This window comes from Homo sapiens, chromosome 1 (genome assembly GCF_000001405.40).
Source record: "Homo sapiens chromosome 1, GRCh38.p14 Primary Assembly".
NCBI lineage: Eukaryota > Metazoa > Chordata > Mammalia > Primates > Hominidae > Homo > Homo sapiens.
The window spans coordinates 31,408,409-31,435,566 of NC_000001.11; the positions used below are offsets into that span (position 1 = coordinate 31,408,409).

Here is a 27,158-nt window from a genome sequence, read left to right on the forward strand (position 1 = left end):
TTCTCTCCTTTGCAGTAACAGGCCCTGCCACACACACAAGCATACCCCCACCTCTACATGTAAACCCCACCTGCGTACACACCATATATGACTTACCCATGTCCCCACATTTATACATGCACATTCCATGCACATATTCACATAACCACACACGCTCATCTGTGCACATATACCTAAACACCCCCCCCTCCCCAACACACACAAACTGCCCACATATACACTCACAGAAGACCCTGGACATCTGTAAGGAAAGCATCTGGAGACCTTTGGGAATCCTCAGACCTGTGACTGTCGTGGAGCCGGTGCCAGGTCCTGGCTGTCTCCTCCATACATTTCTGGCAAGTGCCAGAGGCTCCCTTGAGCTACCTACCTCAGATGTCCTACCTTTTCCACTCTTACCCATCTTCTCTCTCAACCCCTAGTCACTTCCTACAAAGGAAACGGATTCCTTCCAGAGTGTTACTGTTATGGGAAGCAAATCCCACAGACCATCCACTCCATGCAGGCTGGGACTGTGTCTGCCCTATCCACACTGCATTCCCAGCTCCTGGCCCCCTGTGGCTAAGTGTTGATTGGAAAAAAGTCACCAGAGCAGCACAGAGGCACATACACTGGGCAGCCACAGGGGTACCTCCACCCCACACAGTTACGTCCATGCACACAGAACACCCTGTGTGTGTGTGCATGCTCAAGCTTGCATCACTGTGTGCCTGCACACATATGAACACGCATCGTGTCTGCCTGTCTCCATACTTTCCAGATAGAGTCCCTTCCAGGACCTGGGTCCTTTCACAAAATCACCTAATACCACTGTGGGCTCATCTGCTGACATGTGAGATCCAGATGTGGCCCCATGACTGCTCAGGGCTCCTGGCTTGGCCCTGAACATCTGGGCGCAGGGGTTTAGAGCACCAGCTTTGGAATTGCATTCTCCTGAGAAAACCTGGGTTCCACCCTGGCTCTGCACATGATCACTGTGCATGTTCCCCGTATGATTTATGTACAAGTTACCTAACTTCTTGGAGCATCAATTTCCTTATTTGCTAAATGGGGGCAATAGTTCCTACCTTAAATTCATCTTAAAGGAGATAATCTCAGCAGAGTGCCTGGCATGTTGTAAGCTCTTAAAAATGCTTGCTATGAATATGATTATTGTTACTTTAGCCTTTGCTCTGAAATCCCATGCACGCTTTGTGAGGAAGGACAGCCTTGGTTGGGGGGTGTTTATGGGGAGAGCAGAGTGGATGGTGCGTATGTGAATACCTCTCCCCAGATGCTCCCCCAATCCCAAGCTCTCATTATCTTATATGCATATTCATAAGGGATGGCCCTGCTCTGTAAATGGGTCAGAAGCAGGAAATAGAGGCCAGTACAGACAGCGAAGCCCAAGGGATAGGAGGGCTCAAAGCCGGCACACATCTGAGTCCTCATGGACGGGAGGATGGTAAGAGGGGATGGGGAGAGAATGGATTGGGGGCACTGAGGCGGGGGCAGGAGTTCGTTCCTATGTTGCAGATTTGAAAACTCAGGCCCAGTGAGATCAGATTAGAGAACCTTGGGGTGGGTGGTCCAAGAAGTCAGAGTCTGCTTCCTTTGGGAACTGGAGTTGAGCATCTGTCTGGGCTGGGTGATGGGCACAGGGCAATGGACCAAATGACCCCTACATGTTTATTTCAAGGGACATGGTTTACATAGCATTGGGTGGAGAAGCTGAATCCTGAATTCCAACCCTCCAGTGAGGCTCAGAGTGGTTGGGTGACTTGCCAGTATCACATAGCTGCTGACTGTGACTGTGCTTTTGGGGGTGCAAGAGACAGAGCTACTCTGGCCCCATGCAGGAGGTTCAAATCTGGGAGTAAAGGCTGATGGGCTGGCCAGGACACCAAGAAATGAAGCTCTTTATCCATGTCCTCACTTCATCTCCTCAGTAGTCCCCTCAGATAGCTGGGGTAAAAAAACTTATCTTTATTTTACAGATGAGAAGCATGAGGCTGAGAGAGGAGGAGTCACCCGGACCCAGCCACACAGTGAGTTATGCCTTCCATGCTGGGCGTGTGAGAGCCCAGCCGGCCTTGGTCTTGGGCAGGCAGGAGGCCAGGACAGTGGCAGCATATTACCTTGCTCTGGAAAATTTTAGCCTGAAGTCAGAGTGGCTATCCCTTTACACATACAGTCATCTTAATCCCTCGTTCCTTGCAGATAACTGCTTATTTCTGAGAGTGTCTTTGCAGATGCTCACACATGCTCTGTGAGGTTAAACAGAATAACCCTACCTATTTCCGGGAAGGGGATGGACGGACACCCCTTGTGGGGTGAAGTGGCCCCCCAAGGATGGCATGGGGCATGGTCATCTGTGGCAGAACAAGAATCCCAGGGGTTGATCCTCTTGGTCTTGGGTGCTTTCTACTGTTCTAGGTCATGGATAGGGAGGGGTTGGGGGTGAAAAATTCAGCTCTTAGAGCAGAAGTGTCCAAGGGAGCTGACCCTGGGACGGGAGCATGTGAGGAGGGCTCACTTGAGACTGCTTGGTGGCATTTCAGTCTAAAGGATTTCCGTGCAGAAGATGACTGTGTAGGGTATGTTTTTGGATCAGACTGTCAGTCACAGAAGAAGGAGGAAAGTGGACTTATGGTAAAAGGTCAGACATTCATCCAGTAAGCATTCACTGCTTGACTGTGTGCCAGGCCCTGTACTGTGCTCTGGGTAGGAGAGGGGGTGGCCAGAGAGCAGACCGTTCTTGGGTGGCTCACAGTCCCCTAAAGGCCTCGGGTTAGGGAAGGACTGAAATATTGCTGGACAGAAAAATAGGAAGACTAGATATTGTCACCTCTACTTTTTCAAGGGAAGCAGTAGGACATCAGGGTGAAAGCCAGGCCAGGTTGCCTTTCAGCTCTGTTTCTTCTGAGCTGTGTGGCCTTCAGCAATAGTAACAACAACCACAGTGATCACAGTCAACGTTTATTCGACGCTTGATTTACATTTCGCGTGTCACTACTTCTTTGTTTCTCGGTTTCCTCATCTGTAAACGAGTGGGTGGGGAATTAATCGACTTCTCAGGGCTGTTGTGGGGCTCAAATGGTACCACGGGGGAAAGTTGGGCATGTGCTCGGGTTGTTTGTGAGGCCATAAGGGAGGCCCATATTGTTTGGAGGCTTGGGGGAATCAGGAGGATGTTCATTCCTAATGGAACCAGGTAGTGGGTTGGGGGTGAGGGTGGTGGCTCTCTTCACTGAGAGGTATGGCATGTGAGCAAGCTTCAAAGGGGAGAAAGAGGGATAAGGAGAAGGACCTTTAAGAGGAGGGCATCTGCCAGGTGCAGTGCCTCACATCTGTAATACCAGCACTTTGGGAGGCCAAGGCAGGAGGATTGCTTAAGCCCAGGAGTTCGAGACTAGCCTGGACAACATAAGGAGACCTCATCTCTACACAAAATTTTTAAAAAATTAGCTGGGTGTGGTAGTACACACTGGTGGTCACAGCTACTTGGGAGGCTGAGGTGGGAGGATCACTTGGGTCCAGGAGGTTGAAGCTGCAGTGAGCCATGATTGGGCCACTGTGTTCCAGCCTGGGTGACAGAGTGAGACCCTGTCTCAAAAAAAAAAAAAAAAAAAAAAAAAAAGAGGAGGGCATTGTGTGGGCAAAAGTGCGGAGGAGGAAAAGTATAGGGTGTGTTTGTGGAACAGTCCTGGTGCAATTAATGGCTAAGCCTGGCGCCCAGTGAATCAGCCAAGGATGCAGTCAACCAGCTCTTTGGCCCTGGGGCCAGCTTCGAGGCACAGAGACTTCTTTCCCTAACATTATCTTGTCCAGAGGTGGCTGAGGACAGGGCTAAGGGTGAAGGGAGACTAATTACAGAGCCCTACTTCTGGGTCTCTCACACCTACCCCTGGAAAGCCATCTGTCAGGAATGTGGCCGCCCCTCCCCACCTTCTGACCTCCTTAGCTAGGGACCAGTTTGGGCATCCCTAGGGAGTGATAAGCCACCAAGCAGGGGTGGCTGTAGGGAGTGTGTAGCTCCCAGCAGGCTGTTGGGAGTCAGTGGAGTTTGAAGAACAGATGGAGAGAAGGGAGGATGGGTTTAGAGTGAGAGGCTGGGGTCTTAGAAGAAGCAGTAGGTGGGCATGGTGGCATGCACCTGTAGTCCCAGCTACTCAGGAGCCTGAAGCAGGAGGATCACTTGAGCCCAGGAGGTCGAGGCTGCAGTGAGCTATGTTTGCACCACTGCACTCCAGCCTGGGTGACAGAGCAAGACCCTGTCTCTTAAAAAGGAAGAAGAAAACAGTGACGATGGGGGCTTACATTTGTCAAGCACCTACCATGTGTTGTAACCACCCTGTGAGGTATGTATCCTCACTTTACAGACCGGGAAACTGAGGCTCATAGAGGTGCAGTGACTTGCCGAAGTTTCTTTATCCAGTCATTCAGCATTCAACCTCAGCATCTACGTATTGAGCAGAGGCCCTGCGCCAAGCACTGAGGAGTCAGCGGTGACCACCTCTTGGCTTCTGTTCCCAAGGGTGACAGTGTCCTGGGGTCACACGGGCTCAAACCGAGGTCGATTTCCGAACGCTCACTTTGGAGCAGGATGCGAGCCCGGGCCACGATTGGGTCAGGTTGCGCCGCTCGCGTGGCCGCGGGAATCCCCGACCGGCCCCTTCCCTAGGGTCCCTCCTGGCGCACCTGCCCCAGGTGAGTCTGGGGAGGCCCCGAGCGCCGCCGGAAAGCGTCGAGCGGCTTCGGTAGGTGGGGCGGGGCCGGGGCGGGGCCGGGGCCGGGGAGGGGCCAGGCCCGGCACCCGGATCCCGAGGTCCGCGCCCCGCGCCCGGCGCCGGGCGCCCGAAGCCGGGAGCCGCCGCCATGGGGGCCTGCCTGGGAGCCTGCTCCCTGCTCAGCTGCGTGAGTCCCGACCCCGGCGCCCGCCCGCGCGCGCCGCCCGTTCCTGCTGCGGGCCCTCACTTTCTTCTGTTCTGCTCCGAGTAGTTTCTTCTTTTTCCTTCCTGCAAACTTGTCTTTCTGGGCCGGTGCCCCGCCTGCTCGCCCTCCTGGACCTTCACTCGGCACCCGGATCCCGCTGCCCCCGTCCCCCTGCTCAGTCCTGGCCGGCAGGCGCCGGGCAGCTGCGGTCCCGGCTCGGGTTTCCGCGGGCAGGAGGGGAGTGCCCTCGGCGGGCGCCCTCCTGGGACCTGGAGAGACTAAGCCTGGAGCCCGGGGTCGGGGCAGCTCTGTGGGCCCTCGTCGCCCCACTTGGGGCGGTCCTCGGGGTGGCCTCTGTCCCCGTCCCGGACGCCCTGGTTCTCTGTGTAGGTCGCCCGGGCCCCGTCCCTCCTGGCGAGTGCCCTGCCCTACCCCTCTGGCCGCCTGCCAGTCCGCCTGTTCCTGTCGCTCGGGCTCCGCCTGTCCGTTCGTATTTGTCTGGTTCCTGTCTGTGTCCGTCGTTCGTCCGACTGTCTTTGTCCGTCTGCTGTCTTCTGTCCGTCTGCCCGTCCGCCCGTCCGTCCCTCAGTCTCTCTGCGGTCCCTTTACCGTCCTCAGTCTGGCTCGCGCTGCCTCTCAGGCACTTCCCCAGCTCGCCCCGGATCATCTGGGCCCCAGCGCGGAGACTGGGATGGGAGCGGAGGGAGCCCCGGACTTTCTTAGCTGCCCTCGAGTGAGGCGGGTGCGGGTCGTCACGGACCACCGGGCGGAACTCTGGGTTGGGAGAGCAGGAATCGAGGGAGGTTCGGGTGTGCGCGGGGAGTGCCCGGTCGCGGGTTCGGGACCTGTGGGGAGGCCAACCTCTGTTCTGTAGCTGCAGCCGCAGAGGGGAGGGGCTCCAGCAAGACCCCGGCTGGGAGGCCCGTTCTCCCTTCCCTTTCCCCAGCCCCCCTCTCCTTTCCTCTTCCCCTCATTAAATCTGAGGTTCATTCAGGCAGCCCCCTCCCCCTCTGGCCCCACACAAAGAGGCCCTGAGAGGGAGAAGGGGCTGCAGCGGCTGCTGAATCTCGGGACTCGCTTTCCTTTGTCCCTGACGGGTTGTGTGTGTGTGTGTGTGTGTGTGTGTGTGTGTGAGAGAGAGAGAGAGAGAGAGGAGGGGGTGTAGGGGAGAGCTGAGGGTCTAGAGATTTACTTTACAGCCTTTTTCTGAGAATGAGATCAGCATAGACAGCACAGAGAGGCAAGAGAGCCTCTCGCCTCATTAGGCCTCCATTTTTCGTGTGTGTGTGTGCGTGTGCATGTGCGTGTGCAGGAGGAGGAATCAAGCTGGTGCCTGAAATCCCTCCCAGCCCAAAGAATTCAAGGTTTGGGCCAGGTCTCTGCCAACAAGGGTTTGCTTCCTGGTGAGGGAGGCAGAGCTTCCACAGTGGACCTGATTTCCATCGGTTGCACCTGGTGAGGCACAGGCCCTGCTGGGCTGGCCTGGGGGTGGAGATGTTGAGGGGCAGCCTGCCAGCCCTGTGTGCCTTGGTCACCCCATCTGGCAGTTGACAGTAACAGGGCCTTTCTCACAATGCTGTTGGGAGATGAGGCACAGTTCCTGGCATATCGTGAGTGCTCCTTGTGGGAATTATTGCTAACATCAAGGAAAGGTGGGTGGAGAATTCCATTTGGAGACAATGCAAAGCCAAGTGCTGGTCTCTGAGTTACAGCATTCTACAATGCTGAGAGCAGATAGGACTGCTCAAACCATCTGTTTACAGATGAGAAGACTGCCACCCGCCCGGAGAAGATAGCTGACTTTCCTAAGGTTGCACAGGGAAAGGATGAAGAACTGCATAGTTAGGATCAACATCTGATTCCTGGTCCAGGCTTCTGCCCACACCTTCCCTCCCTTCCCCACATCCTGGCTGCCTGAGGCACAGGGCTGGTCCAGGGAAGAATTGGGAGATAACTTAGTGAGTAATATCAGCAAGGGACCCGGCCCTCCCTTCAGTGCCATCCCCTTGGGGTTCTGGCCTCCGACATTTACTGAGGTTCTGGCCTCTGACATTTACTGAGCCAGGTACTGTTCCGAGCCCCTCACCATGCCATCTCATTGGCTCTCCCCACCTCCTCTACCCTATGACATCGTTAGCCCATTTTACAGATAACTATCCCAACACTCGCAGCGTGGAGCTGTCCAGGAGTGGCCTAGGCCCCATACAGTAGTGAGCAGTATGTGTATGTGTGTGTATATATATATCTCCTTCCATTTAATCCTCACAAAGACCCCACTGGGGCAGTTAATATTGTTCCCATTTCACAGATGAGGAAACTGGCTCAGAGAGTGAAGGTGACTTCTCCACAGCCACACAACATTAAGTGGTGTAGTTGGGCACTACTGGACACCAGTACCATCCTGTTGCAGTGAAGAGTTGCTGCACAGGAGTGAAGTTCTATGTGGGGTTTCTGGGCAACTTCAGGAGGGATTTTTTTGCATGCATGGGTCAGTGGGGAAGATTTTTGTATCCTCCCAGGTGTGACTCATCTGCTGATTGTGCTTCTCAGCATTGGAACTGGGCTGAAGGTGAACTGGGCTGAAGGTGGGTCCTGCTTTGGATGGGGAGGTAAGATGGGTCCACAGGGGATGGGGCCACCAGGCAAGCCGCCGGCACATGATGACTTGGCTGTCTGCAAAGATTTCAGGAGGGTCTTGCACATCCTAGGGAGTGTGAAAGGCCTTTGGGTCAGACCACTGGACTCGGATCCTAGCTTTGCCTCTTCGCATCTCTGTGACTGTGGGCAGTCACTTTGCCCATCCCCTTGTCTGTAAAGTGGAGAAAACAATGGTGTCTGCCCCTTAGCCTGTTGTGAGGATTAAATGGGACTGAGGTTAGCACAGCTGCATATTTAGCACCAAGCTGGTGTGCAGTGGCCGGTCCATAAACACCCCACAGTAGTACATGACTCAAGACTACATGCAAGGAAGTGCTGAAGCCAGTGAGACCCAGGGCTGCCTAACTATAGAGCCTGGGCTCGGAGCCCCTGTACTCTCCTACCCCAGGAGATCATTTTACAGATGAGGAAACTGAGTCCCATGGAGGGGAGGAGAGACTTGCCTGAGGTCAGATTACAAGCTGTGGCAGAGCCAGCATTAGGACCTGCATTCTTGGCACTGCATGGGGGAAGTAAGTGCACCTTGGGACATTTCCGGCTGACCTCTTCTCTGCTGTGTTTTGACTAGCCCTGGGGCGGCTCAGCCAGTTACGGAGTTGTTCATGAAGGCGGCAAGGTGCATGCTTGCCTGGGCCAGTTTTGCATTTTTTAAACTGTGACGAAATACATGTTAAAAAATTTACTCTTTTAACCTTTTATTTTAGTCTTCAAGGAGTTTGTATGTTATTTCATTTTATTTTATTTTACTTTATTTTTTTGAGATGAAGTCTTGCTCTGTTGTCCAGACTGGAGTGCAGTGGCACCATTCTGGCTCACTGCAACCTCTGCCTCCAGGTTCAAGTGATTCTCCTGCCTCAGCCTCCCGAGTAGCTGGGATTACAGGCGTGCGCCACCATGCCTGGCTAATTTTTGTGTTTTTAATAGAGACGGGGTTTCACCATGTTGGCCAGGCTGGTCTCGAACTCCTGATCTCAAGTTATCCACTGGCCTCGGCCTCCCAAAGTGCTGGGATTACAGGCATGAGCCACCACACCCAGCCTGTAATTTATTTTAGAAGACATGTATATTAAAATGGAGATCTAATAAATACAACCCTAATAAAAATTAATCCCAAACGAATGGCATTGTCAGAAGGAGTAGTGCCAACTAAGGCACACGGTAACTCCAGAACATCTTCTTACTGTCAGCCCTCATCTGGATTACTGACAACAGCCCCTGACTCTCCTCCCTTCCCCCAAAGATACCACACACTACCCCATGACCTGTCTTTTTGTGATCAAAGTGATATTTCTAAAATGCAAATCTGCTGTCATTCCTCTTCTTTCGCAATCATTCCCCATTGCTTTCAGGGTGAAGTCCAGACTCCCTGGCATGGCATACAGGGACATTGACCACCACTTCCGTGACCTCTGTAGCTTTTCTCACCCTTTCAGCTGCCCTGAAAATACAGTGTCCCTGTAGCTCTGCATGTGTCATTCTCTTTGCTGGGAATACCCTTCTCGCCTCTTCCTGCTCTTCTTTGAAAACTCCCTGCCCCCTCCCTTTTAAAAAAATTGAGGTAAAAGATGCATAACATAAAATGTACCATTTTAACAATTTTTAAGTGTAGCATTAAGTACATTGACACTGTTATGCAACCATCACCACCATCCTTCTCCAGAACTTTTTCATCTTCCCAGACTGAAACTCCCACTAAACAGTAACTCCCCAGCCCCTCGTAACCACCAATTCACTGCTTTTCTCTATGAGTTTGGCTACTCTCTCCATCTAAGTGGAGTCATACAATATTTGTTCTTTGGTGTCTGGCTTATTTCACTTAGCATAATGCCCTGAGGGTTCATCCATGTTATAGCATGTGTCAAAATTTCATTCTTTTTTTTTTTTTTTTTTTTTTGAGACAGAGTCCTGCTCTGTTGCCCAGGCTGGAGTGCAATGGCACAATCTCGGCTCATTGCAACTTCCACCTCCCGGGTTCAAGCAATTCTCTTGCCTCAGCCTCCCGCGTAGCTGGGACTATAGGCACACACCACCATGCCCAGCTAATTTTTTTGTATTTTTAGTAGAGATAGGGTTTCACCATGTTGGCCAGGCTGGTCTCGAACCCCTGACCTCAGGTGATCCGCCCGCCTTGGCCTCCCAAAGTGCAGGGGTTACAGGCATGAGCCTCCGCACCTGGCCTCATTCCTTTTTAAGAACAAATAATATTCTATTGTATGGATATGGATATACCACATTTTGTTTATCCATTCATCTCGTCCACCAATGGACATTTAGCTTGTTTTCACCTTATGACTACTGTGAATAATTCTGCTATGAACATGGGTGTGTAAATATGTGAGTCCCTGCTTCATTTCTTTTGGATATATATCCAGAAGTGGAGGGCCACTTTATTTTATTTTATTTTATTAAATTTTGAGACGAACTCATGCTCTGTCACCCAGGCTGGAGTGTATTGGCGCGATTCAGCTCACTGCAACTTCTGCCTCCCGGGTTCAAGCGAGTCTGCTGCCTCAACCTCCTGAGTAGCTGGAATTACAAATGCCTGCCACCATGCCTGGCTAATTTTTGTATTTTTTGTAGAGACGGGGTTTCACCATGTTGGCAGGATGGTCTCAAACTCCTGATCTCAGGTAATCTGCCTGTGTTGGCTTCTCAAAGTGCTGGGATTACAGGCATGAACCACCACGCCCAGACAGCCAGTTTGTTTTAAATAGAAAAATTCATCCAGCCCTCAGCTGCCTCCCTTACCCACCCAACACCCTATGAGTGGTTCTAAGAACTTCTGTCCCTGGCTCTGAGGACAACCAGGAGACAATGTGAATGACTCAGTGACAGCCTGTTCACATAATGCCAAACGACTCATGGCTCCAGAGCTGTCTGCCTTGCCTTGGGAGGTAGTGAGCTCCTTGTCATTGGCAGTGTGCAAGCAGCAGAGGATGGCCAGATGCTTTCTGGGTGGTTCTTCATTGGAAAGAGAATGGATTGGTTGAATGCCAAGGAACCTTGCAGCTGTAAGGCTCTGAGGCCTGGGGCTTCTTAAATTCTGAGTTCTCCATTCTGAGAACCTGGGCTGGTACTAAGATTCAGCCACTGTAAGTGTTCTGGGGCTTTTCTGTTGCTGCCCTTGAGTGCATCTGCAGGAAGAGGGGAGTGGTTGTAATCGTAGTGTGGGAACAGCTTTCCAGTCTGCCTTCCTTTCACACTGCATCATGAGCATTATTCCATGTGGCTCTGTAGCCAGGGAATTCATCTTTCTGGCTCTGTAGCATTCCATGGAGTGAAAGGGCCACGGCTGTCCCCAGGTGTTAGACATTTAGGTTTTTTGTAGTTTCTTGAGACTCCAATAGGCTCACAAAACCTAAAGCTTATTTAAGTTTTTTCTTTATATAAAAATCTTTATTTTTATATTTGTAAATTTAACTTAATTGAAGTATTATTTGTATACAATGAAATGTACCCAAGTTAAGTGTTACCTACATATTTGCCCCATTCAGCAGAGAAATCCGTTTTATGGAATACCATGATGTATTGATGGGCGTTTTGTTATTTTCAATTTTCCCCTAATGGCCAGGCATGGTGGCTCATGCCTATAATCCCAGCACTTTGGGAGGCCAAGGTGGGAGGATCCCTTGAGCCCAGGAGTTCAAGACCAGCCTGGCCAACATGAGAAAACCCTGTATCTACCAAAAAATACAAAAATTAGCTGGGTGTGGTGGTGCATGCCTGTGGTCCCAGCTACTTGGGAGGCTGAGGTAGGAGGATCGCTTGAGCCCAGGAGGTTGAGGCTTCAGTGAGCTGAGATCACACCACTGCACTCCAGCCTGGGTGACAGAGCCAAATCCTTTCTTGAAACAAAAACCAAGAAACCAAAAAGAAAAATTAGCTGGGCATTGTGGCTGGTGCCTGTGGTCCCAGCTACTCCGGAGGCTGAGGTAGGAGGATTGCTTGAGCCCCGGAGGTGGAGGTTGCAGTGAGCCGAGATGGTACCACTGCACTCTAGCTTGGGTGACAGAACGAGATCCTGTCTCAAAAATTTTTCCCCCTATTATTTTCCTATTATGATCAGTGCCACAATGAATTTCCATGTGTTTGTATATATGTGCACACATCTGCCCTTACTCCAATGGTCTGGCATTTCTGTAGGAAGAGATTTAAATATATATAAAATGACATTTTGGTCAAATGGAAGAGGTTCTTGTAGGAGCCATTCTGGGGTGGGGTGAATGGAGCAAGGTGGACAAACATTTCCAAGGATGCTCTGGAAGCAGTGTGTGTTTTTCTCTTTGACCTGGTCTCTCTGGCTGCTGATCAGGCCCTTGGAAATCCTGAGATTTCAGGCATTAGGAACACCTGGATTTTGATGTTTAAGAACCAGAGCGAACTGAAAGGCCAAGCTCTCTGAAAGCGGAACAGCTTTCTTGTGTCTCAGATGTCTCAAATTGAAATTAAATGGTAACAAGCCAGCATCAGGACCTGACAGGGCACCTGGGCACCTGGCTCCTGAGATCAGTACCCACTGGCCTCCCTTGGTTTTCTGGTATTGGGTTTTTTGTTGTTTGTTTGTTTGTTTTTTCATCACTGGGATGTATTTAAATTAAATAAGATGACCATCAGTGAATTAGCGAGCTGGAACTAGTGTAGTCCTGTAGGCAGAGCCTGGCCCTTGGTGCACACAGATCTGAATTTGCATCCCAGCTCCTCAGCTTACTTGCTGTGTGACCTTGGTCATGCCACTTCTCTGTCTCAGTTTTCCCATTTGAAAATGGAAAGTTACCACACAATTCATAGCATCAGTGAAGCTTAATGTAGATAAAGTGCTTATCACAGTGCCTGGGACTGAGTAACCCTTCGTAAATGGTAGCTGCCACTAATACTACTTGAATCTCAGTGCTGTTATCAACTTGCTGTGTGACCTCTGGTAAGTCTCTTAGTCCCTCTGGTCTCAATTTCCACGTCTGTAAAATGGGACTAATAAGCTGCTCTAACTGATACCCAGAATGTTCTTTATAGCAGGGGTCCCCAACCCCTGGGCCATGGACTAGTATCTATCCATGGCCTGTTAAGAACTGGGCCACACAGCAGGACGTGAACAGCAGGTGAACAAGCATTACCGCCTGAGCTCCGCCTCCTGTCAGATCAGTGGCAGCATTAGATTCTCATAGGAGTGCGAACCCTATTGTGAACTGTGCATGCGAGGGATCCAAGTTGCGTGCTTCTTATGAGAATCTAATTCCTGATGATCAGAGGTGGAACAGTTTCATCCCAAAACCATATCTGCCCCCTGCCAGCACCCCTGCTGCCATCTGTGGAAAAAGTGTCTTCCCTGAAATTGGCTCCTGGTACCAGAAAGGTTTGGGACCACTGCTTTATGGCCTCTAAAACATTTTTCAGGCTTTTCTTATCCTCTCACCCACCAAGGACAGCCATGGATAGGAGGCAGGTCTTGGGGTGGCAGCTGCAAGATGTAACCAGAAGTTGCTGGACAGGTGGACTGTTTCAATTTAGACCATGAGGAATAGTTTCGTTTCCAAAGCATTTTGTTTAGCATCTGTGTGAACGAGAGATAGGCGAGGAGCATTTCTAGTTTGGGGGAGAGTAAGAGGGGAGGCAGATGCCCGCCAGCAGGGTGTGCTGTGTGCCTTGTGACCAGTCCAGAAAGAAAAGCAGAGGTCTCTGAGGAGCAAGGGGCCCCTGCCAGCCTGCTCTTTTCAAAGCTCATCTTTCAATTCCTGACCCTTGGCTCCAGCCCCTCGAGTGGGTGCCCACCGCTCTTAGGATGAAAACCAGTGTCCTGTTCCTGACTGCTGGTGCCTATGTGGTCTGGCCTTGCCAGCCTGTCTGACCTCATACTCACCGCTGACTGTCTGCTCACCAAGCTTTGGCCACGAGGGCCTTCTTAAATTCCTCAAATGCCCAGCCCCTACCCACCCCAGAGCCACCTGTCTAGAACTTTCTTTCCTCCCTTTGGTCTGGCAGTGTCTCCTCATCCCTCTGCTCTCAGCTTATTATTTTATTTTAAAATATTTCTTTTTAAAAGGCCAGGTGCAGTGGCTCACGCCTGTAATCCCAGCACTTTGGGAGGCTGAGGTGGGCAGATTGCTTGAGCCCAGGAGTTTGAGACCAGTCTGGGCAACGTGGTGAAACTCCGTCTCTACAAAAAATACAAAAATTAACCAGGCATGGTGGCGTGTGCTTGTAGTCCCAGCTACTCAGGAGGCTGAGGTGGGAGGATGGCTTGAGCCCAGGAGGCAGAGGTTGTAGTGAGCTGAGATTGCGCCACTGCACTCCAGCCTGGGTGACAGGGCAAGACCCTGTCTCAAAAAAAAAAAAACAAAAAAAGAAGAAAAGAAGAAAACCCTTCTTTTTAAAAGATACGGTCTCGCTATGCTGCCCAGGCTATTCTCTAACTCCTGTGCTCAAGCGATCCTCCTGCCTTGGCCTCCCAAAATGCTGGTATTACAGGTGTGAGCCACTGCACCTGGCCTGCTCTCAGCTTAAAAGTCACTTCTTCAAGGAGGGCTTCCCTGACATGCCACCCTCAATCAAACCTAGGCTGCATTAGCACTTTTCTGGCAGTGGGTACGTGTCCTTCTTAGCGCTTGTCACGATGTGAGTCATGATTTGTTTAGTGTTTTTCCTGCTTGTGTAAGCTCCAGGAAGGCAAGGCCTATGTCTGTTGCTCTCCAGGCTCTTAAATCCCTGGGTGAGGAGTAGGGGCTGTTTGGGGGAAGATAAAGTTTACCAGAGGTATCTGGATGTGGGGCCTGTTTCTTTAAAGGCTGGGCTGTGGACTGGGCTCCCAGGAGGGTGAGTCTCCTTTTCAGGTGTGGCATAGTGTGTCATCACCAGCCCCTGAATGATTTCAGCCAGGCCAGGGGAAGGGCTGACCGCAACTGGGGCAGAGGACCCTGGAGAGGGAAAGGGTTAGACCGCCACCTGCTGTCTAGTGCTGGTATAGCCTCAGAGCCGAAAATCATTCCGTTTATCCAACTGGTGTTTATTCTGCACTTGCTGTTTTCTGAGGTCTTAACATGTGACTGGTACTATGCCAAACACTTCATATTCCTTCAACAGATAGCCTGTAAGCTCCTGCTGTGTGACAGACACTGTTCGAATTTCTAGGAATACCACAATGAACAAAACGCAAAAATTCCTGCCCCGCTGGAAAGCGGAGGCCGACAAAACATAAAGCCTCGCTGATGGCAGAAGTCCCGCGGGGAAAAATTAAGTGGGGAAGGGGAAAGGGAGCCCAAGGGGGCTACAATGTGGAATTTCTGTTTCACTCTCACAACTGCTTTGTGAGGAGTACATACCACTATGTTACAGAAGAGGACACTGAGGCACAGAGAGGTTGAGTGAGTTGTATAAGGTCACGAAGGTAATCGGTGACAGCTGGCCTTGTGATTTTTTTTTTTAAACTACTCTCCCTCCCTGTAAGAAAGAAACAGCGTGACCTCGGCTAGCTCTCGCTTTCAAGCCACAGTATCACTGGAGATAGACCCAGGTTTGAATCTGGGTTCTGTGGTTACTGGCTGTGTAGCCCTATATGACCCAGCCTCCCTCTCGGACCTGAAAGTTCAATGGGCTGGTGTCTGGGGAACAGTGTGCTCCTGCCTAGCGCAGCACAGATGCGCCGACCTCTGGGCAGGTGGTGAGAGGTGCGCGCTTGGGCGGTGAAGGGGAGAGGGAAGAGTGACAGTGCCCTCCCGCAGGCGTCCTGCCTCTGCGGCTCTGCCCCCTGCATCCTGTGCAGCTGCTGCCCCGCCAGCCGCAACTCCACCGTGAGCCGCCTCATCTTCACGTTCTTCCTCTTCCTGGGGGTGCTGGTGTCCATCATTATGCTGAGCCCGGGCGTGGAGAGTCAGCTCTACAAGGTGAGTGCCCCAGGGGAGGCAGGGCGGCCTCCAGCGAGGGGCGTCAGTGGCTCCAGGATAGAGGGCCCAGGCTTGGGGTCACAGCTTATCCAGAAGAGGAGGCAGGGTGTTTGGGTGCACTGATGATCTGAGGTTGGAAATGAGGGGAGGAGGGCTTGAGCCTCTTGGGGGGATTCTTCTTTCTCTTAGGCCACAGTCTCCTTGGAAAATCTTATTAATCATTATCGCCCCCTGGACACTGGCCTAGGGGATGCTCTTCTCCCTCTTAGTGCTTAAGCCCAGGTTGGGGCTCCTAACTCTTCCCTTCATCTCAGTGTTTTACAGCCTAGCACAGACCCAGGGGGACGTGGGCATCACCGTAGGTGCCTTATACACATTTTAGTGTGTATAAAGATGAGATTCCCTGGGGAGTTTGTAGAAATGCAGATTCTCAGACTCCACCTTGAGGCTCTATTCCATGGGAGAGGGGCCACAGAATCTCTGTTTTCCCAAGCATCTCAGATGGTTCTGATGTAGGTGGTGGGTGGAGAACACTTTGGGAACCACTGCTTTAGACAGCGCAATAGTTTCTGAGGCTGTGGGAAATAAACAATAACAAGATGTAACTGGGGAGCTCCCTCCCAGGGCTTCAGGCCCAGAGAGGGCTAGGAATGGAGGCGGAGGCAGTGGAGATAGAGGTGAGGGGCTCCCCTCCCTGTCTGGTCCAGCCCCTGCTGGGAGAGCCTCTTTCCTGGCCGGCCTTGGGAGACCAGGGCTCTGGTTTATAAAGGGAGCTGCCAGGGTTCTGTGAGAGGTGGGGCTTTGACGCTGCTCTGTCTGTCTCCACAGCTGCCCTGGGTGTGTGAGGAGGGGGCCGGGATCCCCACCGTCCTGCAGGGCCACATCGACTGTGGCTCCCTGCTTGGCTACCGCGCTGTCTACCGCATGTGCTTCGCCACGGCGGCCTTCTTCTTCTTTTTCACCCTGCTCATGCTCTGCGTGAGCAGCAGCCGGGACCCCCGGGCTGCCATCCAGAATGGGTGAGAGAGGGGTCCCTGCCTGCACCCTGGGACCTTCCCCCAGTGCCTTGCCCGCTCCTCTGCCTGTCCAGGGATCTGCAGACCCTACCCACCACTCAGGAGCCACGGGAGGGCACAGCATGGAGAACAGCTCTGAGTTATATCCATTTCTCAGATGAAGAGTAAGGCTCAGAAAGGGTGGCAGCAAGCCTCAGGCCCCGCAGCACTTCAGTGACACAGCTGGGGCTGGACCTGGGTGACCACCCTCACCACTGCTTGGTCCTTCCTCCTGCCCCTTAGGGTTTTTTCCAGGGCCAGGAGAGACTTTCTGTGCCTATCAGACCACCAGAAAGCCCACCCTCACCCCTCTCAGCACCTGCTGTTTGTGGGTGGGGGCTCTGGGGCCAGGCCCAGTCTGGCTTCCAGTTTCCCTGCCTGCACTCAGCTTCCTTGTCCATTCCCCGACCCCTTCTGTAGGTTTTGGTTCTTTAAGTTCCTGATCCTGGTGGGCCTCACCGTGGGTGCCTTCTACATTCCTGACGGCTCCTTCACCAACAGTAGGCGGACTTGGCAGGAGGCATGGGGGGCTGTGGGGAGGGAAGTGGGGCGGCAGGTTGGAGGAACGTGGTGGGGCTGCTCTTTGCTGGGGCACACAGACCCCTGGCTGCTGGCTAGGTCCTCGCTCCCCACCCGTGAGACAGCACTGTGGTGCTTGGCCACACGGCCTTTGTGCAACCCAGGGGTAGGGGGAGCTGTCTTGCCCCGACCCATATCCTGCCCTCTGTGCGTAGCTAGGGGCTCCCTGAGGGCAGGGACTCTGTTCTTCTCAGTGTCCCCGGTGCAGGGTGTAGCAGAAAACGCTTGTTGAACGAGTAGATGTGAGAGAGGGACCCTCCTCGCCTCACTCCCCTCTCCCCACCCAGTCTGGTTCTACTTCGGCGTCGTGGGCTCCTTCCTCTTCATCCTCATCCAGCTGGTGCTGCTCATCGACTTTGCGCACTCCTGGAACCAGCGGTGGCTGGGCAAGGCCGAGGAGTGCGATTCCCGTGCCTGGTACGCAGGTCAGTGCTGCCACCCTGCCTCCGTGTGGGGACTCGAGCCTGGGCAGGGCTGGGGCTGCCTGAGAAATCGAGGGTCCTTGAAGCTAGATAAAACTGGGGGGCATCCCTAGCAGCCACTGCCTTAGGTCAAGATTCCAATTGTCCCAGGGAGATGGGGGGCACCAGCTGATCCTGGGATGACTTCAGGGAATCCGAGGAGAGCTGACCTGGAGAGGCCTTGGAGGGGTCTTGTTTGGGGGTTCCTGCAGGGTGGGCCACACACAGCCAGTAGTGTGGGACGCCCTTTTGGTGGTGCCCAGGCTGAACTTCAAGTGACACCTGGTCCCTGAAACCCCAGTAGCAGGGTGAGTCCCTGGTCCTTTCAGTTCTGAACACAACGAGGAGAAAGGCTCACCTGGGTGCTGTTTGGTTTCCACACCTCCCTAGACTTGCCAGTATCTCTCAGACAGGGAGGGCAGGTCAACAGCCTGTACCTCGTTCAGTTTTTGCAAGACTGTTTTGAGTTCATTGTATTTATTGTTACAATTCCCTTATTACAAGGTAGCAAGTGAATCATGTTAGCTCAGGGTGGGGCAATGACTCACAAAGGTGTTGGTGAAAGGCAGTGACGTCATTCTTCAAGTGGGGAAACTGAGAGCTGGAGAGGGGGAGAGCTGCCAACAGGGTCCCTCGAGGGAGTAGGGATCCCTGTTCCTCCTGCCCCACCCACTGCCTACCCTCTCACTACCCCTCTGGCCCAGGCCTCTTCTTCTTCACTCTCCTCTTCTACTTGCTGTCGATCGCGGCCGTGGCGCTGATGTTCATGTACTACACTGAGCCCAGCGGCTGCCACGAGGGCAAGGTCTTCATCAGCCTCAACCTCACCTTCTGTGTCTGCGTGTCCATCGCTGCTGTCCTGCCCAAGGTCCAGGTGAGCCTGCCTGACCCCCCCTGGCCTGAAGCCCGGCCCCTTAGTGGGTGGGACTTCTTGTAGGAACCTGGGTCCTGGGGCTAGGGCTGTCATCACAGAGGCACGGCCTGAGTGTGTGGGCTCCCAGGTCAGCCTCCCCAGGTTATAGTCAGGCTCTCACGGCTTCATGCTGGGTGTCTTTAGGAGGTGCCCTAACCTCTCTCTGCCTCTCAAATATTAAATGGAGATAATAAGACCTACTATTGGAGTTATTCTCAGGATTGAGATCCTATTTGTAAACACTCCATGCCTGGCCTGTAGATATCTCTCAGACATTAGCTATTATTGTAGTTATTATTGTTGTCATTTTTGTTTTTATGCAAATCAGTAGAACATTAGGGGCAGTCCCTGAGTGGTGATTCCTAGACACCTCTGGAAGTAGTGTAGGAAGGTGCAATTTCACATTTCCAATCCAAGACCATCTGGAATAATGGGCAGGAGCTCCCAGAGGAACTGCGTGTTCTTCAGAAAGTACCGCTGGAGCCCCTTGTGAGTACAGTGGTGCTTTGTGGTTTGAGATCTCAGCACACCGGCAGCTTCAGGGGGCTTAGGTAGTCTTCAGGGGTCTTTAGCAGAAAGGCTGGGAACCTCCCTTCTGGTCAGAGCCTCATATCCCAGTAAGAAAAGCTGAAGCCCAGAGAAGGCGATGTCTGTGTCCCAGGTCACACAGCAATCAGTATTTATCCAGCAAATACCTCTTGAGCACTTCCTGTGTACCAGGCCCTCTTCTAGATGTTGGGGATATGGCTGTGAGGAAGGGGAGGAAGAATAATGATGATAGCCAGTAGTTAGTGGCCTCGGACATGTTATTTGATCCTCACACCATCCTCATCCTCACTTTGCAGATGAGGAAACAAAGGCTTAGAGAAGAGGCCTAGCCAAGGTCACATGGGGAGCTGGGATTCAAACCCAGGCAGGCTGGCTCCAGAGTCTGTGCTCTGGTTTTCTTTTTTCTTTCTTTCTTTTTTTTTTTTTTTTTTTTTTGAGACAGGGTCTGGCTCTGTTGCCCAGGCTGGAGTGCAGTGGTGTAATCTCGGCTCACTGCAAGCTCCGCCTCCCAGGTTCAAGTGATTCTTGTGCTTCAGCCTCCCAAGTAACCAGTGAGCTGCTCACCTCAGCCTCCCAAAGTGCTGGGATTACAGGCATGAGCCACCACACCCAGCCTAAAATTTTTTTTGTTTTTGTTTTTTTGAGACAGAATCTTGCTCTGTCACTTAGGCTGGAGTGCAGTGGTATGATCTCAGCTTACTGCAACCAACCTTCGCCTCCCAGGTTCAAGCAATTCTCCTGCCTCAGCCTCCCGAGTAGCTGGGATTACAGGCACCCGCCACCACACCCAGCTAATTTTTGTATTTTTAGTAGAGACAGGGTCTTGCGATGTTGGCCAGGCTGGTCTTGAACTTCTGACTTCAAACCATCTGCCCGCCTCAGCCTCCCAAAGCGCTGGGATTACAGGCATGAGCCGCCATGCCTAGCTGCCTGTGCTCTTAATCACAGAGTTCAGGTTCATGTTTTTATGTGCATGTGTGGTGAGGGGTGGGGAAGGACAGGCAACAGGGGACTAGGCCCAGTGAGGTGATTTTGGGTAATATTGCAATGTGGAACATGAAAGAGGGTGTGGGCTGAAAGGTGGGTGGCTGGCAGGTGCAGGGCTGCCGTAGTTCAGGTTCCCAGGGCTCCGCAGGAGTCCTGTCTGAATACTGAAGAGGCGCTGCCTGTGCGGAGATGCTGGGAAGGAACTTGTCAGAGGGAGGGCACAGCGACGGCAAAGGCCTTGTGGTGGGAGAGGCTGGGCAGACTCTCCAGACGGAGAGCAGGGAGGAGGGGGACAGTGGGCCAGGTGGAGATGAAGGAATTCAGTGTGATGAGATGGGGTTTCAGCAGGGGAGGAGGGCAAGTAATCTGAGGGGTGTTAAGAGAAAGAAGAATTAGGACTCAGCCTTTGGTTAGTGAGGTGGGTGGTAGGTGGCCTGCTTGGTGTTTTCCCTAAGTGGGGTGTGGTGGGGTATCCTAGGTGGGTGGGAGTTTCTGAGGTCCCTTGGCTGGTGTGAGTGGGCTGGGTGGGGTGGGGTGTCTCTGGTCTGGCAGGGGTCTTACCAGGGGTCCTCTTGCCAGGACGCCCAGCCCAACTCGGGTCTGCTGCAGGCCTCGGTCATCACCCTCTACACCATGTTTGTCACCTGGTCAGCCCTATCCAGTATCCCTGGTAAGTATGGGCCCAGGCTCAAGGAGGCCTGGCCTCGTTCCTGGGTCAGTATCAGTCTACTGTGGGGCTGGGGACCCTCACAGGTGACAGGGACATCCCTGCTCCAGCCCATTCTGAGACTCAGTCCTCCCATGAGATGGGAGGGCCCCGTCTGTTCCTGAGTTGTCTCTCTGCCCTTGTGACTGCTGAGCGCTCTGTTGCTGGGACTTGAGTGGTTGGCTGTGTATCTGTCTGTCTATTAGGGGTGGCTCTCTAGCCATCCTCAGGGCCACTTGGCTACCTAGGCCTGGCCTGCATGGGCTGAGGGTGATTGTGCTCCCATCTCCAGAACAGAAATGCAACCCCCATTTGCCAACCCAGCTGGGCAACGAGACAGTTGTGGCAGGCCCCGAGGGCTATGAGACCCAGTGGTGGGATGCCCCGAGCATTGTGGGCCTCATCATCTTCCTCCTGTGCACCCTCTTCATCAGGTATGGCCAGGTCTGGATTCTGGGGAAGGATCATGATTGAGGGCCCTGAGCCAGAGTGAGGGGAGGGTGTGGGAGCCAGGATACCAAACTGGAACGTGCTCTTCACATTCAATATATCCAGGTCTTGCATTGTGCGGGAGGGGAAACTGAGTCCCTCAGAGGGCATGGCATGAGTGGGCAACAGAGGCAGGCGTGACCTTGCCTCCTGGCTCACAGCCCTTTCCTGCATACTGGGCCAGTTCAGTTGGGTGCAGACGGCTGTGGGGTCAGGGAAGGAGCATGGACTGGGGTCAGTGGGTCCAGGGTCTGTTTCTCCCCTGCTGTGCGGCTTGGGGTAAGTGGCTTAACCTTTCTGAGCTCCTGTTTCCTCCTCAGTAAGAGGATGACAACCTCCACTGTAGTGGATGTGGCTGTGACCCCACACTCTCCCCCGAGAGAAGGCAGCTCATGCTGAAGTTCACATAGAGGTTCTTTTCAAAGGGGCATCTTAGTAGGTGCTTATCCATGTGGACTCAAATGCCTGCATTTGAGCCTGGCATTGCCACTTACTAGCTATGTGATCCTGGGCAAGTCACTTAACCTCTTTAGGCCTCCATTTCCTTGTCTGTAAAATAGAGATAAAAATAGTACCTTCCTCATTGGATTGTTGAAGGGCTATAGATGAATCAGTATGTGTAAAACACTTAGAAAGGGGCCAGGCATGGTGGCTCACACCTGTAACCCCCAGCACTTTGGGAGGCCGAGGTGGGAGGATCTCTTGGGCCCAGGAGATTGAGACCAGCCTGGGCAACATAGTAAGACGCTGTCTCTTTTTAAAAATTAACAAAACAAAACAAAAACACTTAGAAAGGAACTTGGCAAGTAGTAAGTTATTTGTAATCCAAACACTTTGCCAGACTGAAGCAGGAGGATTGCTTGGGCCCAGGAGTTCAAGGCCAGCCTGGGCAACATGGTGTCTCTAAAAAAAAAAAAGGTTTTGTAATTAGTCAGGCATGGTGGTATGCACCTTCTAGTCCCAGTGACTGAGGAGGCCGAGGTAGGAGGATCACTTGAGCCTGGGAGTTTGCCAAATTAAGTGTTGCATATTATTGTGAACATTTGCATAATATTGTGAACATTTGTATATTAGTATGAGCATAATATTGTGAACATTTGCACAACTAGGTAGCTGTAGGTGGTGGCTGTTCTTACAAGTCACTAGATCATAAGATTAGGTTTAATTATTGTTTACACGGATCAGGCAGACCCTGAGTTTGCCTCCCTGTGGCCCTGCATTTCTCCAAGCACCACTTTCCATCTGCCCTTAACTCTAGAGGGAATCTTGGCTCTGCTCCCCTGATCTCCCCGATCCATCCATCCCAGTTCCAACAGCACCCCTGCCCCCAGGCCCCTGGGCTAGAACATTTTAAAGCTCTTTCACATTTTCTTCTGTTTTGGCCTTTTTCAAAACATTTTCTCCAAGTCAGTTCTGTACAGTTCATAAACATCTGTCTTCTTTGTCACATTTGATTCCTTTTCAAGCTGGAAAGGCTTGAATTACCTCTGTGTCCTCTCCTCTCCCCTCCCCTCCCTTCCCCTCCCCCCTCCTCTCTCTTTTCTTTTTTGAGACAGGGTCTTCCTCTGTCACCCAGGCTGGAGTGCAATGACACAATCACAGCTCACTGTAGCCTCAAACTCCTGGGCTCAAGTGATCCTCCCACCTCAGCCTCCTGAGTCACTGAGACTACAGGTGCATACCACCATGCCTGGCTACTTAAAAAAACATTTTTTTTTTTTTTGTAGAGACACTATGTTGCCCAGGATGGCCTTGAACTCCTGGCCCAAGCAATCCTCCTACCTCAGCCTGCCAAAGTGTTTGGATTACAGGAGTGCACCACTCCTGGCCTGATTACCTTCATTTTACAGATAGGGAAACTGACAGCCGGGGAGGAGGCCATGAGCACATGGTGGCCGGTGGCCAAGGAGCTTGGAACTCTTTCCCTGCCCCTGGTTCTCTGTCCCTTCCCCTCCCCGACCTGGCACAGCTGTTTTTCCTGCTGCTTCCACACCCACAGCTCCCTGGCACATGCACTGCTGAGAGCCCAGGGGCACAGGTCTGTTCTTAGCATGGTTCTTACAGCACAGGCAGCAAAGAAGCATATGCAACCCATGAGGGCCAGGACCACCCAATCTGGGCTCCCATGCATGAGATATCCATATGGTATTTGGTAGATAGGGTGGAGAGGGTGGAGAGGGTGAATAGGGTGGATAGGGTGGATAGGGTGGACAGGGTGGACAGGGTGGATAGGGTGGATAGGGTGGATAGGGTGGATAGGGTGGATAGGGTGGATAGGGTGGACAGGGTGGACAGGGTGGATAGGGTGGATAGGGTGGATAGGGTGGTTAGGGTGGATAGGGTGGTTAGGGTGGTTAGGGTGGTTAGGGTGGATAGGGTGGATAGGGTGGATAGGGTGGATAGGGTGGATAGGGTGGATAGGGTGGACAGGGTGGACAGGGTGGACAGGGTGGACAGGGTGGACAGGGTGGACAGGGTGGACAGGGTGGTTAGGGTGGACAGGGTGGACAGGGTGGATAGGGTGGTTAGGGTGGATAGGGTGGACAGGGTGGACAGGGTGGACAGGGTGGATAGGGTGGATAGGGTGGATAGGGTGGTTAGAGTGGAGAGAGTGGACAGGGTGGAGAGGGTGGATAGGGACCCACTGACTCACAGCAAGGGGTGATTTCTCAATTTGCTGGGGTGGCGGGGCTGGAATCCAGCTCTCCTTTTCACTTTTGTTTGGAAACGTGAGTTGGTTTTTCAAAAATTTTTATGTCTCAAACTATCAAATTCTGTTAAAAACATCAAGGCTCATCACAGAAAAGCATGACATACAATCATTACTGTTGTTCTTTTTTTAGTGTAAGCATGAAGGAAAGGGAGGCCATTGGTAAAACCACCTGACACTAATAAAATGGAAACTTAAAATCAATGGCAAATGAGCGTGATTAATTATTAACATTCTTAATGGATGTAGTACCTGGTATGGTACTTTGTAGTATTAGGTACTCGATACGTGTTTATGGAAATGGCAAAGGAACAATCCTAACAATAGTGACTGTTGATTGAATTTATATTCTGTGCCAAGCACTATGCTAGAGACCTTACATCATTATTCCGTCTAGTCCCCCCAGCAGCCCTCTAGAGGAGGTACGATTATCCCTTATTTTACAGACAAGGAATCAGAGGCTCAGAGAGGTTAAGTGTTTTGCTCAAGGTCACACAGAAAATGGGAGTGGGGGTAGGGGTAGAGTTGAGAGGCAAAGCAGTTTGTTAACTCCCAGGCCCAGTAACCGGGTCGCTGGCCTCTGAGGCTCTGGGACCATTTGTGTCCAGTGTTATGAGCAACGCCAGAGCTATCTATTTGCCCACCTTCCTCCCTCCCCTGCAGTCTGCGCTCCTCAGACCACCGGCAGGTGAACAGCCTGATGCAGACCGAGGAGTGCCCACCTATGCTAGACGCCACACAGCAGCAGCAGCAGGTGGCAGCCTGTGAGGGCCGGGCCTTTGACAACGAGCAGGACGGCGTCACCTACAGCTACTCCTTCTTCCACTTCTGCCTGGTGCTGGCCTCACTGCACGTCATGATGACGCTCACCAACTGGTACAAGTGCGTAGCTGGTGGGGCATGGACAGAGCCCGGAGGTGCAGGGTGCAGGTCCACACATCTCTCCTGCGGCCCTTCACTGGGTTTTCCTGATGTCTGCTTAAGGCTTGGGGGTGGCGGTGTGTATCAAGGACCCTCCATAGAGCCTGCCCCTTCCCTGCTACAGTTTCCCCAACAGTGCCTTCATCTGCTCAGCTCCCGCACCTTCACTAGGAGACTGAACCGGGGAAGGCACAGCAGCTGGGGCTGGACCTGTACAGGGCAGGCGGGGTTTACAAATCAGGGGTCATGGGGTCAGATTTGGGCTTCATGGTTGGAGGGTTAGGATCAGGGTGTGGAGTGCAGAACCAAAGTTACAAGGTCAAGGATAGAAGTCATGAGGTCTGGGGCTGGGATTGTGGTCATTTAGTGTCACAAATTTGGTCATTTGGTTAAAGTTAAAATTGAGAGTAGGAGGTCATAAAGCCAGGATTGAAGTGGCAAGGTCAAGGAGCTAAATGACAGTAATAAGGTCAGGGGCCACCCCTAAGTTACAGGATCAAAGGTCAGAATCAAGGGTAGCGGTCAGGACTAAGGTCAGGAGCTCCAGGGTCCCAAGTTCAGAGGCTAGGATTGAGGTCCCAGAATTAGGATCACAAGGTTGGAGACCAGGAGTCAGGTCATGATCTCATGGACTAACACTGGGCTCAAGATGGGAATCGAGGTCAGGAGCTATGTCCACGGTCACAAGGCCGGGTGTTAAAAATGTCAGAGATGGACTGGAGTTACAGGGTAAGAGCCAGAGTTGAAGTCAGGGGTCATAACTGGGACATAAGGCCAGGGGCCAAGATGGAAGTCACCAGACTGGGCACCAGGCTCATGGGGAAGATGGTGTGTTCCAGGCCCGGTGAGACCCGGAAGATGATCAGCACGTGGACCGCCGTGTGGGTGAAGATCTGTGCCAGCTGGGCAGGGCTGCTCCTCTACCTGTGGACCCTGGTAGCCCCACTCCTCCTGCGCAACCGCGACTTCAGCTGAGGCAGCCTCACAGCCTGCCATCTGGTGCCTCCTGCCACCTGGTGCCTCTCGGCTCAGTGACAGCCAACCTGCCCCCTCCCCACACCAATCAGCCAGGCTGAGCCCCCACCCCTGCCCCAGCTCCAGGACCTGCCCCTGAGCCGGGCCTTCTAGTCGTAGTGCCTTCAGGGTCCGAGGAGCATCAGGCTCCTGCAGAGCCCCATCCCCCCGCCACACCCACACGGTGGAGCTGCCTCTTCCTTCCCCTCCTCCCTGTTGCCCATACTCAGCATCTCGGATGAAAGGGCTCCCTTGTCCTCAGGCTCCACGGGAGCGGGGCTGCTGGAGAGAGCGGGGAACTCCCACCACAGTGGGGCATCCGGCACTGAAGCCCTGGTGTTCCTGGTCACGTCCCCCAGGGGACCCTGCCCACTTCCTGGACTTCGTGCCTTACTGAGTCTCTAAGACTTTTTCTAATAAACAAGCCAGTGCGTGTACCATGTTCTGTGCCCCTCACCCTCAGCACGGAGCCCCACTGCATGGGGGCCGGTGTGGGGTTTGGGAATAGAATGTTAGGGCTGAGGAGGCTGGGACATCAGGGCCAGACCAGGAGGAGCCTCAAAGGCAGACAGAATGGCCTGAGTTCTGTCTTCTGGGTCATGGAGCGCCTGAGGGGAGGGGGCCAATGAGGAAGGAGGGGCAGACCAGGGTTTTGGGAAAGTAGGGTGTGTCTGGTGGTCAGAAAAGGAGACCCTAGAGGCAGTGGGGCCAGCAGGAGGCTGCCCGACCATCCAACCATCCGAGGGAGGGCAGTGAAAGAGAGTCACGGTGGGGAGGAGGGGGCGATGACAGGGCCAGAAGGTGGTCTTCAGGTCCCCTCTCATCAGGGCCTGCCTCAAGGTCCTGCCCACCTCTGACCTGCCTGGAATTGTTACCACCGTTGGTACCTGCCCTGACCAGTCAAGCCCCAGGCCTCGGGGTGCTGTGGGGAGGAGCATGTGCTCTTGAGTCAGCCAGGCTGGCCCAGATCCCTCCGTACCACGGCAGCCGCGGGGCTGCTGTCCGGCTCCGGATGGGTCCTTCTCTTCTCTGGGCCCTGGTTCCTCATTCATTCAATGGGAACAATGCCACCCCTCCTAGGCTGTTGTGAGGATCAGAGGAAGCAGCCCATGCAATCTGCCTGGCACAGCGAGTTCTTGAGAAATAACATCAGCCCCCATCTCACAAGGGCAGAGAGATGTGAGGGAGACTGACAGGCTCCTGGCTAGGGCCCCAAGGCCTGGTCTTGTTACGATGATGGACTGCAGGCCATTCATCCCTTCCATTTGTGGGGATAAAAAATAGGTATGAAGGTGCTGGGGATGGGTGCTGGGGACACAGCCTGTCTC

General features: G+C 52.9%; 1 protein-coding gene and 1 long non-coding RNA gene across 6 annotated transcripts in view, besides 41 other annotated features; one reads left to right on the forward strand and one right to left on the reverse strand.

Moving 5' to 3' along the window:
* Positions 1–1,368: 1,368 nt before the first annotated feature.
* SERINC2 (serine incorporator 2) lies at positions 1,369–26,270 on the forward strand. 5 transcript variants are annotated; one of them, NM_001199038.2, is made up of 11 exons: positions 1,369–1,444; positions 1,977–2,027; positions 15,285–15,446; positions 16,275–16,465; positions 16,922–17,001; positions 17,368–17,505; positions 18,246–18,415; positions 20,570–20,660; positions 20,989–21,130; positions 24,559–24,777; positions 25,656–26,270. In NM_001199038.2, the coding sequence occupies exons 1-11, from the start codon at positions 1,430–1,432 to the stop codon at positions 25,789–25,791; spliced, it is 1,395 nt and encodes a 464-aa protein (NP_001185967.1). In that variant the 5' UTR covers positions 1,369–1,429; the 3' UTR covers positions 25,792–26,270. The 5 variants fall into 5 exon arrangements, with proteins under 5 accessions (NP_001185967.1, NP_001185966.1, NP_849196.2 ...); NM_001199039.2 differs by lacking the exons at positions 1,369–1,444; positions 1,977–2,027 and adding exons at positions 5,405–6,369; positions 7,465–7,499; NM_001199037.2 differs by lacking the exon at positions 1,369–1,444 and having other exon boundaries at positions 1,745–2,027.
* Positions 4,553–5,053: an enhancer, noted in NCBI's record as "H3K27ac hESC enhancer chr1:31885808-31886308 (GRCh37/hg19 assembly coordinates)". NCBI's record gives its function as "activates a minimal SCP1, AML or CMV promoter by ChIP-STARR-seq in primed H9 embryonic stem cells {active_cell/tissue: H9 hESC(primed)}" and the evidence as "EXISTENCE:reporter gene assay evidence [ECO:0000049][PMID:30033119]".
* Positions 4,620–4,689: a silencer, noted in NCBI's record as "silent region_567". NCBI's record gives its function as "represses an Ori minimal core promoter by ATAC-STARR-seq in GM12878 lymphoblastoid cells {active_cell/tissue: GM12878}" and the evidence as "EXISTENCE:reporter gene assay evidence [ECO:0000049][PMID:35858748]".
* Positions 4,770–4,829: a silencer, noted in NCBI's record as "silent region_568". NCBI's record gives its function as "represses an Ori minimal core promoter by ATAC-STARR-seq in GM12878 lymphoblastoid cells {active_cell/tissue: GM12878}" and the evidence as "EXISTENCE:reporter gene assay evidence [ECO:0000049][PMID:35858748]".
* Positions 6,324–6,872: an enhancer, noted in NCBI's record as "H3K27ac-H3K4me1 hESC enhancer chr1:31887579-31888127 (GRCh37/hg19 assembly coordinates)". NCBI's record gives its function as "activates a minimal SCP1, AML or CMV promoter by ChIP-STARR-seq in primed H9 embryonic stem cells {active_cell/tissue: H9 hESC(primed)}" and the evidence as "EXISTENCE:reporter gene assay evidence [ECO:0000049][PMID:30033119]".
* Positions 15,242–15,341: a silencer, noted in NCBI's record as "silent region_569". NCBI's record gives its function as "represses an Ori minimal core promoter by ATAC-STARR-seq in GM12878 lymphoblastoid cells {active_cell/tissue: GM12878}" and the evidence as "EXISTENCE:reporter gene assay evidence [ECO:0000049][PMID:35858748]".
* Positions 15,814–16,375: an enhancer, noted in NCBI's record as "H3K27ac-H3K4me1 hESC enhancer chr1:31897069-31897630 (GRCh37/hg19 assembly coordinates)". NCBI's record gives its function as "activates a minimal SCP1, AML or CMV promoter by ChIP-STARR-seq in primed H9 embryonic stem cells {active_cell/tissue: H9 hESC(primed)}" and the evidence as "EXISTENCE:reporter gene assay evidence [ECO:0000049][PMID:30033119]".
* Positions 16,376–16,937: an enhancer, noted in NCBI's record as "H3K27ac-H3K4me1 hESC enhancer chr1:31897631-31898192 (GRCh37/hg19 assembly coordinates)". NCBI's record gives its function as "activates a minimal SCP1, AML or CMV promoter by ChIP-STARR-seq in primed H9 embryonic stem cells {active_cell/tissue: H9 hESC(primed)}" and the evidence as "EXISTENCE:reporter gene assay evidence [ECO:0000049][PMID:30033119]".
* LOC124903900 (uncharacterized) overlaps positions 18,002–27,158 on the reverse strand; it is a 45,067-nt gene continuing 35,910 nt past the window's right edge. The window contains exon 2 of the long non-coding RNA XR_007065585.1: positions 18,002–19,201. This is a non-coding gene — a long non-coding RNA (uncharacterized LOC124903900). The remainder of the gene's footprint in view (positions 19,202–27,158) is intronic.
* Positions 20,398–26,255: a meiotic recombination region, noted in NCBI's record as "this region was identified as a recombination hotspot within the HapMap CEU population". NCBI's record gives the evidence for it as "EXISTENCE:nucleotide sequencing assay evidence [ECO:0000219][PMID:20981099]".
* Positions 21,164–25,847: a meiotic recombination region, noted in NCBI's record as "this region was identified as a recombination hotspot within the HapMap YRI population". NCBI's record gives the evidence for it as "EXISTENCE:nucleotide sequencing assay evidence [ECO:0000219][PMID:20981099]".
* Positions 21,720–21,735: a nucleotide motif, noted in NCBI's record as "nucleotide motif; similarity to the predicted 16-mer PRDM9 C binding motif, CCNCNNTNNNCNTNNC". NCBI's record gives the evidence for it as "COORDINATES:motif similarity evidence [ECO:0000028][PMID:19165926]".
* Positions 22,696–22,711: a nucleotide motif, noted in NCBI's record as "nucleotide motif; similarity to the predicted 16-mer PRDM9 C binding motif, CCNCNNTNNNCNTNNC". NCBI's record gives the evidence for it as "COORDINATES:motif similarity evidence [ECO:0000028][PMID:19165926]".
* Positions 23,026–24,272: a repeat instability region, noted in NCBI's record as "repeat instability region; instability of the MS1 VNTR region has been observed". NCBI's record gives the evidence for it as "EXISTENCE:Southern hybridization evidence [ECO:0000078][PMID:12748906]".
* Positions 23,031–24,986: a meiotic recombination region, noted in NCBI's record as "meiotic double-strand break mapped by DNA meiotic recombinase 1 chromatin immunoprecipitation followed by single-stranded DNA enrichment and sequencing in the germ cells of some male individuals with the PRDM9 A/C genotype". NCBI's record gives the evidence for it as "EXISTENCE:chromatin immunoprecipitation-seq evidence [ECO:0000229][PMID:25395542]".
* Positions 23,341–23,824: a minisatellite, noted in NCBI's record as "MS1 (D1S7) VNTR, 9 nucleotide repeat".
* Positions 23,347–23,359: a nucleotide motif, noted in NCBI's record as "nucleotide motif; similarity to the predicted 13-mer PRDM9 A binding motif (LD hotspot motif), CCNCCNTNNCCNC". NCBI's record gives the evidence for it as "COORDINATES:motif similarity evidence [ECO:0000028][PMID:19165926]".
* Positions 23,374–23,386: a nucleotide motif, noted in NCBI's record as "nucleotide motif; similarity to the predicted 13-mer PRDM9 A binding motif (LD hotspot motif), CCNCCNTNNCCNC". NCBI's record gives the evidence for it as "COORDINATES:motif similarity evidence [ECO:0000028][PMID:19165926]".
* Positions 23,392–23,404: a nucleotide motif, noted in NCBI's record as "nucleotide motif; similarity to the predicted 13-mer PRDM9 A binding motif (LD hotspot motif), CCNCCNTNNCCNC". NCBI's record gives the evidence for it as "COORDINATES:motif similarity evidence [ECO:0000028][PMID:19165926]".
* Positions 23,410–23,422: a nucleotide motif, noted in NCBI's record as "nucleotide motif; similarity to the predicted 13-mer PRDM9 A binding motif (LD hotspot motif), CCNCCNTNNCCNC". NCBI's record gives the evidence for it as "COORDINATES:motif similarity evidence [ECO:0000028][PMID:19165926]".
* Positions 23,428–23,440: a nucleotide motif, noted in NCBI's record as "nucleotide motif; similarity to the predicted 13-mer PRDM9 A binding motif (LD hotspot motif), CCNCCNTNNCCNC". NCBI's record gives the evidence for it as "COORDINATES:motif similarity evidence [ECO:0000028][PMID:19165926]".
* Positions 23,446–23,458: a nucleotide motif, noted in NCBI's record as "nucleotide motif; similarity to the predicted 13-mer PRDM9 A binding motif (LD hotspot motif), CCNCCNTNNCCNC". NCBI's record gives the evidence for it as "COORDINATES:motif similarity evidence [ECO:0000028][PMID:19165926]".
* Positions 23,464–23,476: a nucleotide motif, noted in NCBI's record as "nucleotide motif; similarity to the predicted 13-mer PRDM9 A binding motif (LD hotspot motif), CCNCCNTNNCCNC". NCBI's record gives the evidence for it as "COORDINATES:motif similarity evidence [ECO:0000028][PMID:19165926]".
* Positions 23,482–23,494: a nucleotide motif, noted in NCBI's record as "nucleotide motif; similarity to the predicted 13-mer PRDM9 A binding motif (LD hotspot motif), CCNCCNTNNCCNC". NCBI's record gives the evidence for it as "COORDINATES:motif similarity evidence [ECO:0000028][PMID:19165926]".
* Positions 23,500–23,512: a nucleotide motif, noted in NCBI's record as "nucleotide motif; similarity to the predicted 13-mer PRDM9 A binding motif (LD hotspot motif), CCNCCNTNNCCNC". NCBI's record gives the evidence for it as "COORDINATES:motif similarity evidence [ECO:0000028][PMID:19165926]".
* Positions 23,518–23,530: a nucleotide motif, noted in NCBI's record as "nucleotide motif; similarity to the predicted 13-mer PRDM9 A binding motif (LD hotspot motif), CCNCCNTNNCCNC". NCBI's record gives the evidence for it as "COORDINATES:motif similarity evidence [ECO:0000028][PMID:19165926]".
* Positions 23,536–23,548: a nucleotide motif, noted in NCBI's record as "nucleotide motif; similarity to the predicted 13-mer PRDM9 A binding motif (LD hotspot motif), CCNCCNTNNCCNC". NCBI's record gives the evidence for it as "COORDINATES:motif similarity evidence [ECO:0000028][PMID:19165926]".
* Positions 23,554–23,566: a nucleotide motif, noted in NCBI's record as "nucleotide motif; similarity to the predicted 13-mer PRDM9 A binding motif (LD hotspot motif), CCNCCNTNNCCNC". NCBI's record gives the evidence for it as "COORDINATES:motif similarity evidence [ECO:0000028][PMID:19165926]".
* Positions 23,572–23,584: a nucleotide motif, noted in NCBI's record as "nucleotide motif; similarity to the predicted 13-mer PRDM9 A binding motif (LD hotspot motif), CCNCCNTNNCCNC". NCBI's record gives the evidence for it as "COORDINATES:motif similarity evidence [ECO:0000028][PMID:19165926]".
* Positions 23,590–23,602: a nucleotide motif, noted in NCBI's record as "nucleotide motif; similarity to the predicted 13-mer PRDM9 A binding motif (LD hotspot motif), CCNCCNTNNCCNC". NCBI's record gives the evidence for it as "COORDINATES:motif similarity evidence [ECO:0000028][PMID:19165926]".
* Positions 23,608–23,620: a nucleotide motif, noted in NCBI's record as "nucleotide motif; similarity to the predicted 13-mer PRDM9 A binding motif (LD hotspot motif), CCNCCNTNNCCNC". NCBI's record gives the evidence for it as "COORDINATES:motif similarity evidence [ECO:0000028][PMID:19165926]".
* Positions 23,626–23,638: a nucleotide motif, noted in NCBI's record as "nucleotide motif; similarity to the predicted 13-mer PRDM9 A binding motif (LD hotspot motif), CCNCCNTNNCCNC". NCBI's record gives the evidence for it as "COORDINATES:motif similarity evidence [ECO:0000028][PMID:19165926]".
* Positions 23,644–23,656: a nucleotide motif, noted in NCBI's record as "nucleotide motif; similarity to the predicted 13-mer PRDM9 A binding motif (LD hotspot motif), CCNCCNTNNCCNC". NCBI's record gives the evidence for it as "COORDINATES:motif similarity evidence [ECO:0000028][PMID:19165926]".
* Positions 23,662–23,674: a nucleotide motif, noted in NCBI's record as "nucleotide motif; similarity to the predicted 13-mer PRDM9 A binding motif (LD hotspot motif), CCNCCNTNNCCNC". NCBI's record gives the evidence for it as "COORDINATES:motif similarity evidence [ECO:0000028][PMID:19165926]".
* Positions 23,680–23,692: a nucleotide motif, noted in NCBI's record as "nucleotide motif; similarity to the predicted 13-mer PRDM9 A binding motif (LD hotspot motif), CCNCCNTNNCCNC". NCBI's record gives the evidence for it as "COORDINATES:motif similarity evidence [ECO:0000028][PMID:19165926]".
* Positions 23,698–23,710: a nucleotide motif, noted in NCBI's record as "nucleotide motif; similarity to the predicted 13-mer PRDM9 A binding motif (LD hotspot motif), CCNCCNTNNCCNC". NCBI's record gives the evidence for it as "COORDINATES:motif similarity evidence [ECO:0000028][PMID:19165926]".
* Positions 23,716–23,728: a nucleotide motif, noted in NCBI's record as "nucleotide motif; similarity to the predicted 13-mer PRDM9 A binding motif (LD hotspot motif), CCNCCNTNNCCNC". NCBI's record gives the evidence for it as "COORDINATES:motif similarity evidence [ECO:0000028][PMID:19165926]".
* Positions 23,734–23,746: a nucleotide motif, noted in NCBI's record as "nucleotide motif; similarity to the predicted 13-mer PRDM9 A binding motif (LD hotspot motif), CCNCCNTNNCCNC". NCBI's record gives the evidence for it as "COORDINATES:motif similarity evidence [ECO:0000028][PMID:19165926]".
* Positions 23,752–23,764: a nucleotide motif, noted in NCBI's record as "nucleotide motif; similarity to the predicted 13-mer PRDM9 A binding motif (LD hotspot motif), CCNCCNTNNCCNC". NCBI's record gives the evidence for it as "COORDINATES:motif similarity evidence [ECO:0000028][PMID:19165926]".
* Positions 23,770–23,782: a nucleotide motif, noted in NCBI's record as "nucleotide motif; similarity to the predicted 13-mer PRDM9 A binding motif (LD hotspot motif), CCNCCNTNNCCNC". NCBI's record gives the evidence for it as "COORDINATES:motif similarity evidence [ECO:0000028][PMID:19165926]".
* Positions 23,797–23,809: a nucleotide motif, noted in NCBI's record as "nucleotide motif; similarity to the predicted 13-mer PRDM9 A binding motif (LD hotspot motif), CCNCCNTNNCCNC". NCBI's record gives the evidence for it as "COORDINATES:motif similarity evidence [ECO:0000028][PMID:19165926]".
* Positions 26,104–26,908: an enhancer, noted in NCBI's record as "H3K4me1 hESC enhancer chr1:31907359-31908163 (GRCh37/hg19 assembly coordinates)". NCBI's record gives its function as "activates a minimal SCP1, AML or CMV promoter by ChIP-STARR-seq in naive H9 embryonic stem cells {active_cell/tissue: H9 hESC(naive)}" and the evidence as "EXISTENCE:reporter gene assay evidence [ECO:0000049][PMID:30033119]".
* Positions 26,680–26,880: a silencer, noted in NCBI's record as "peak160 fragment used in MPRA reporter construct". NCBI's record gives its function as "represses an SCP1 promoter by STARR-seq MPRAs in K562 erythroleukemia cells {active_cell/tissue: K562}" and the evidence as "EXISTENCE:reporter gene assay evidence [ECO:0000049][PMID:32103011]".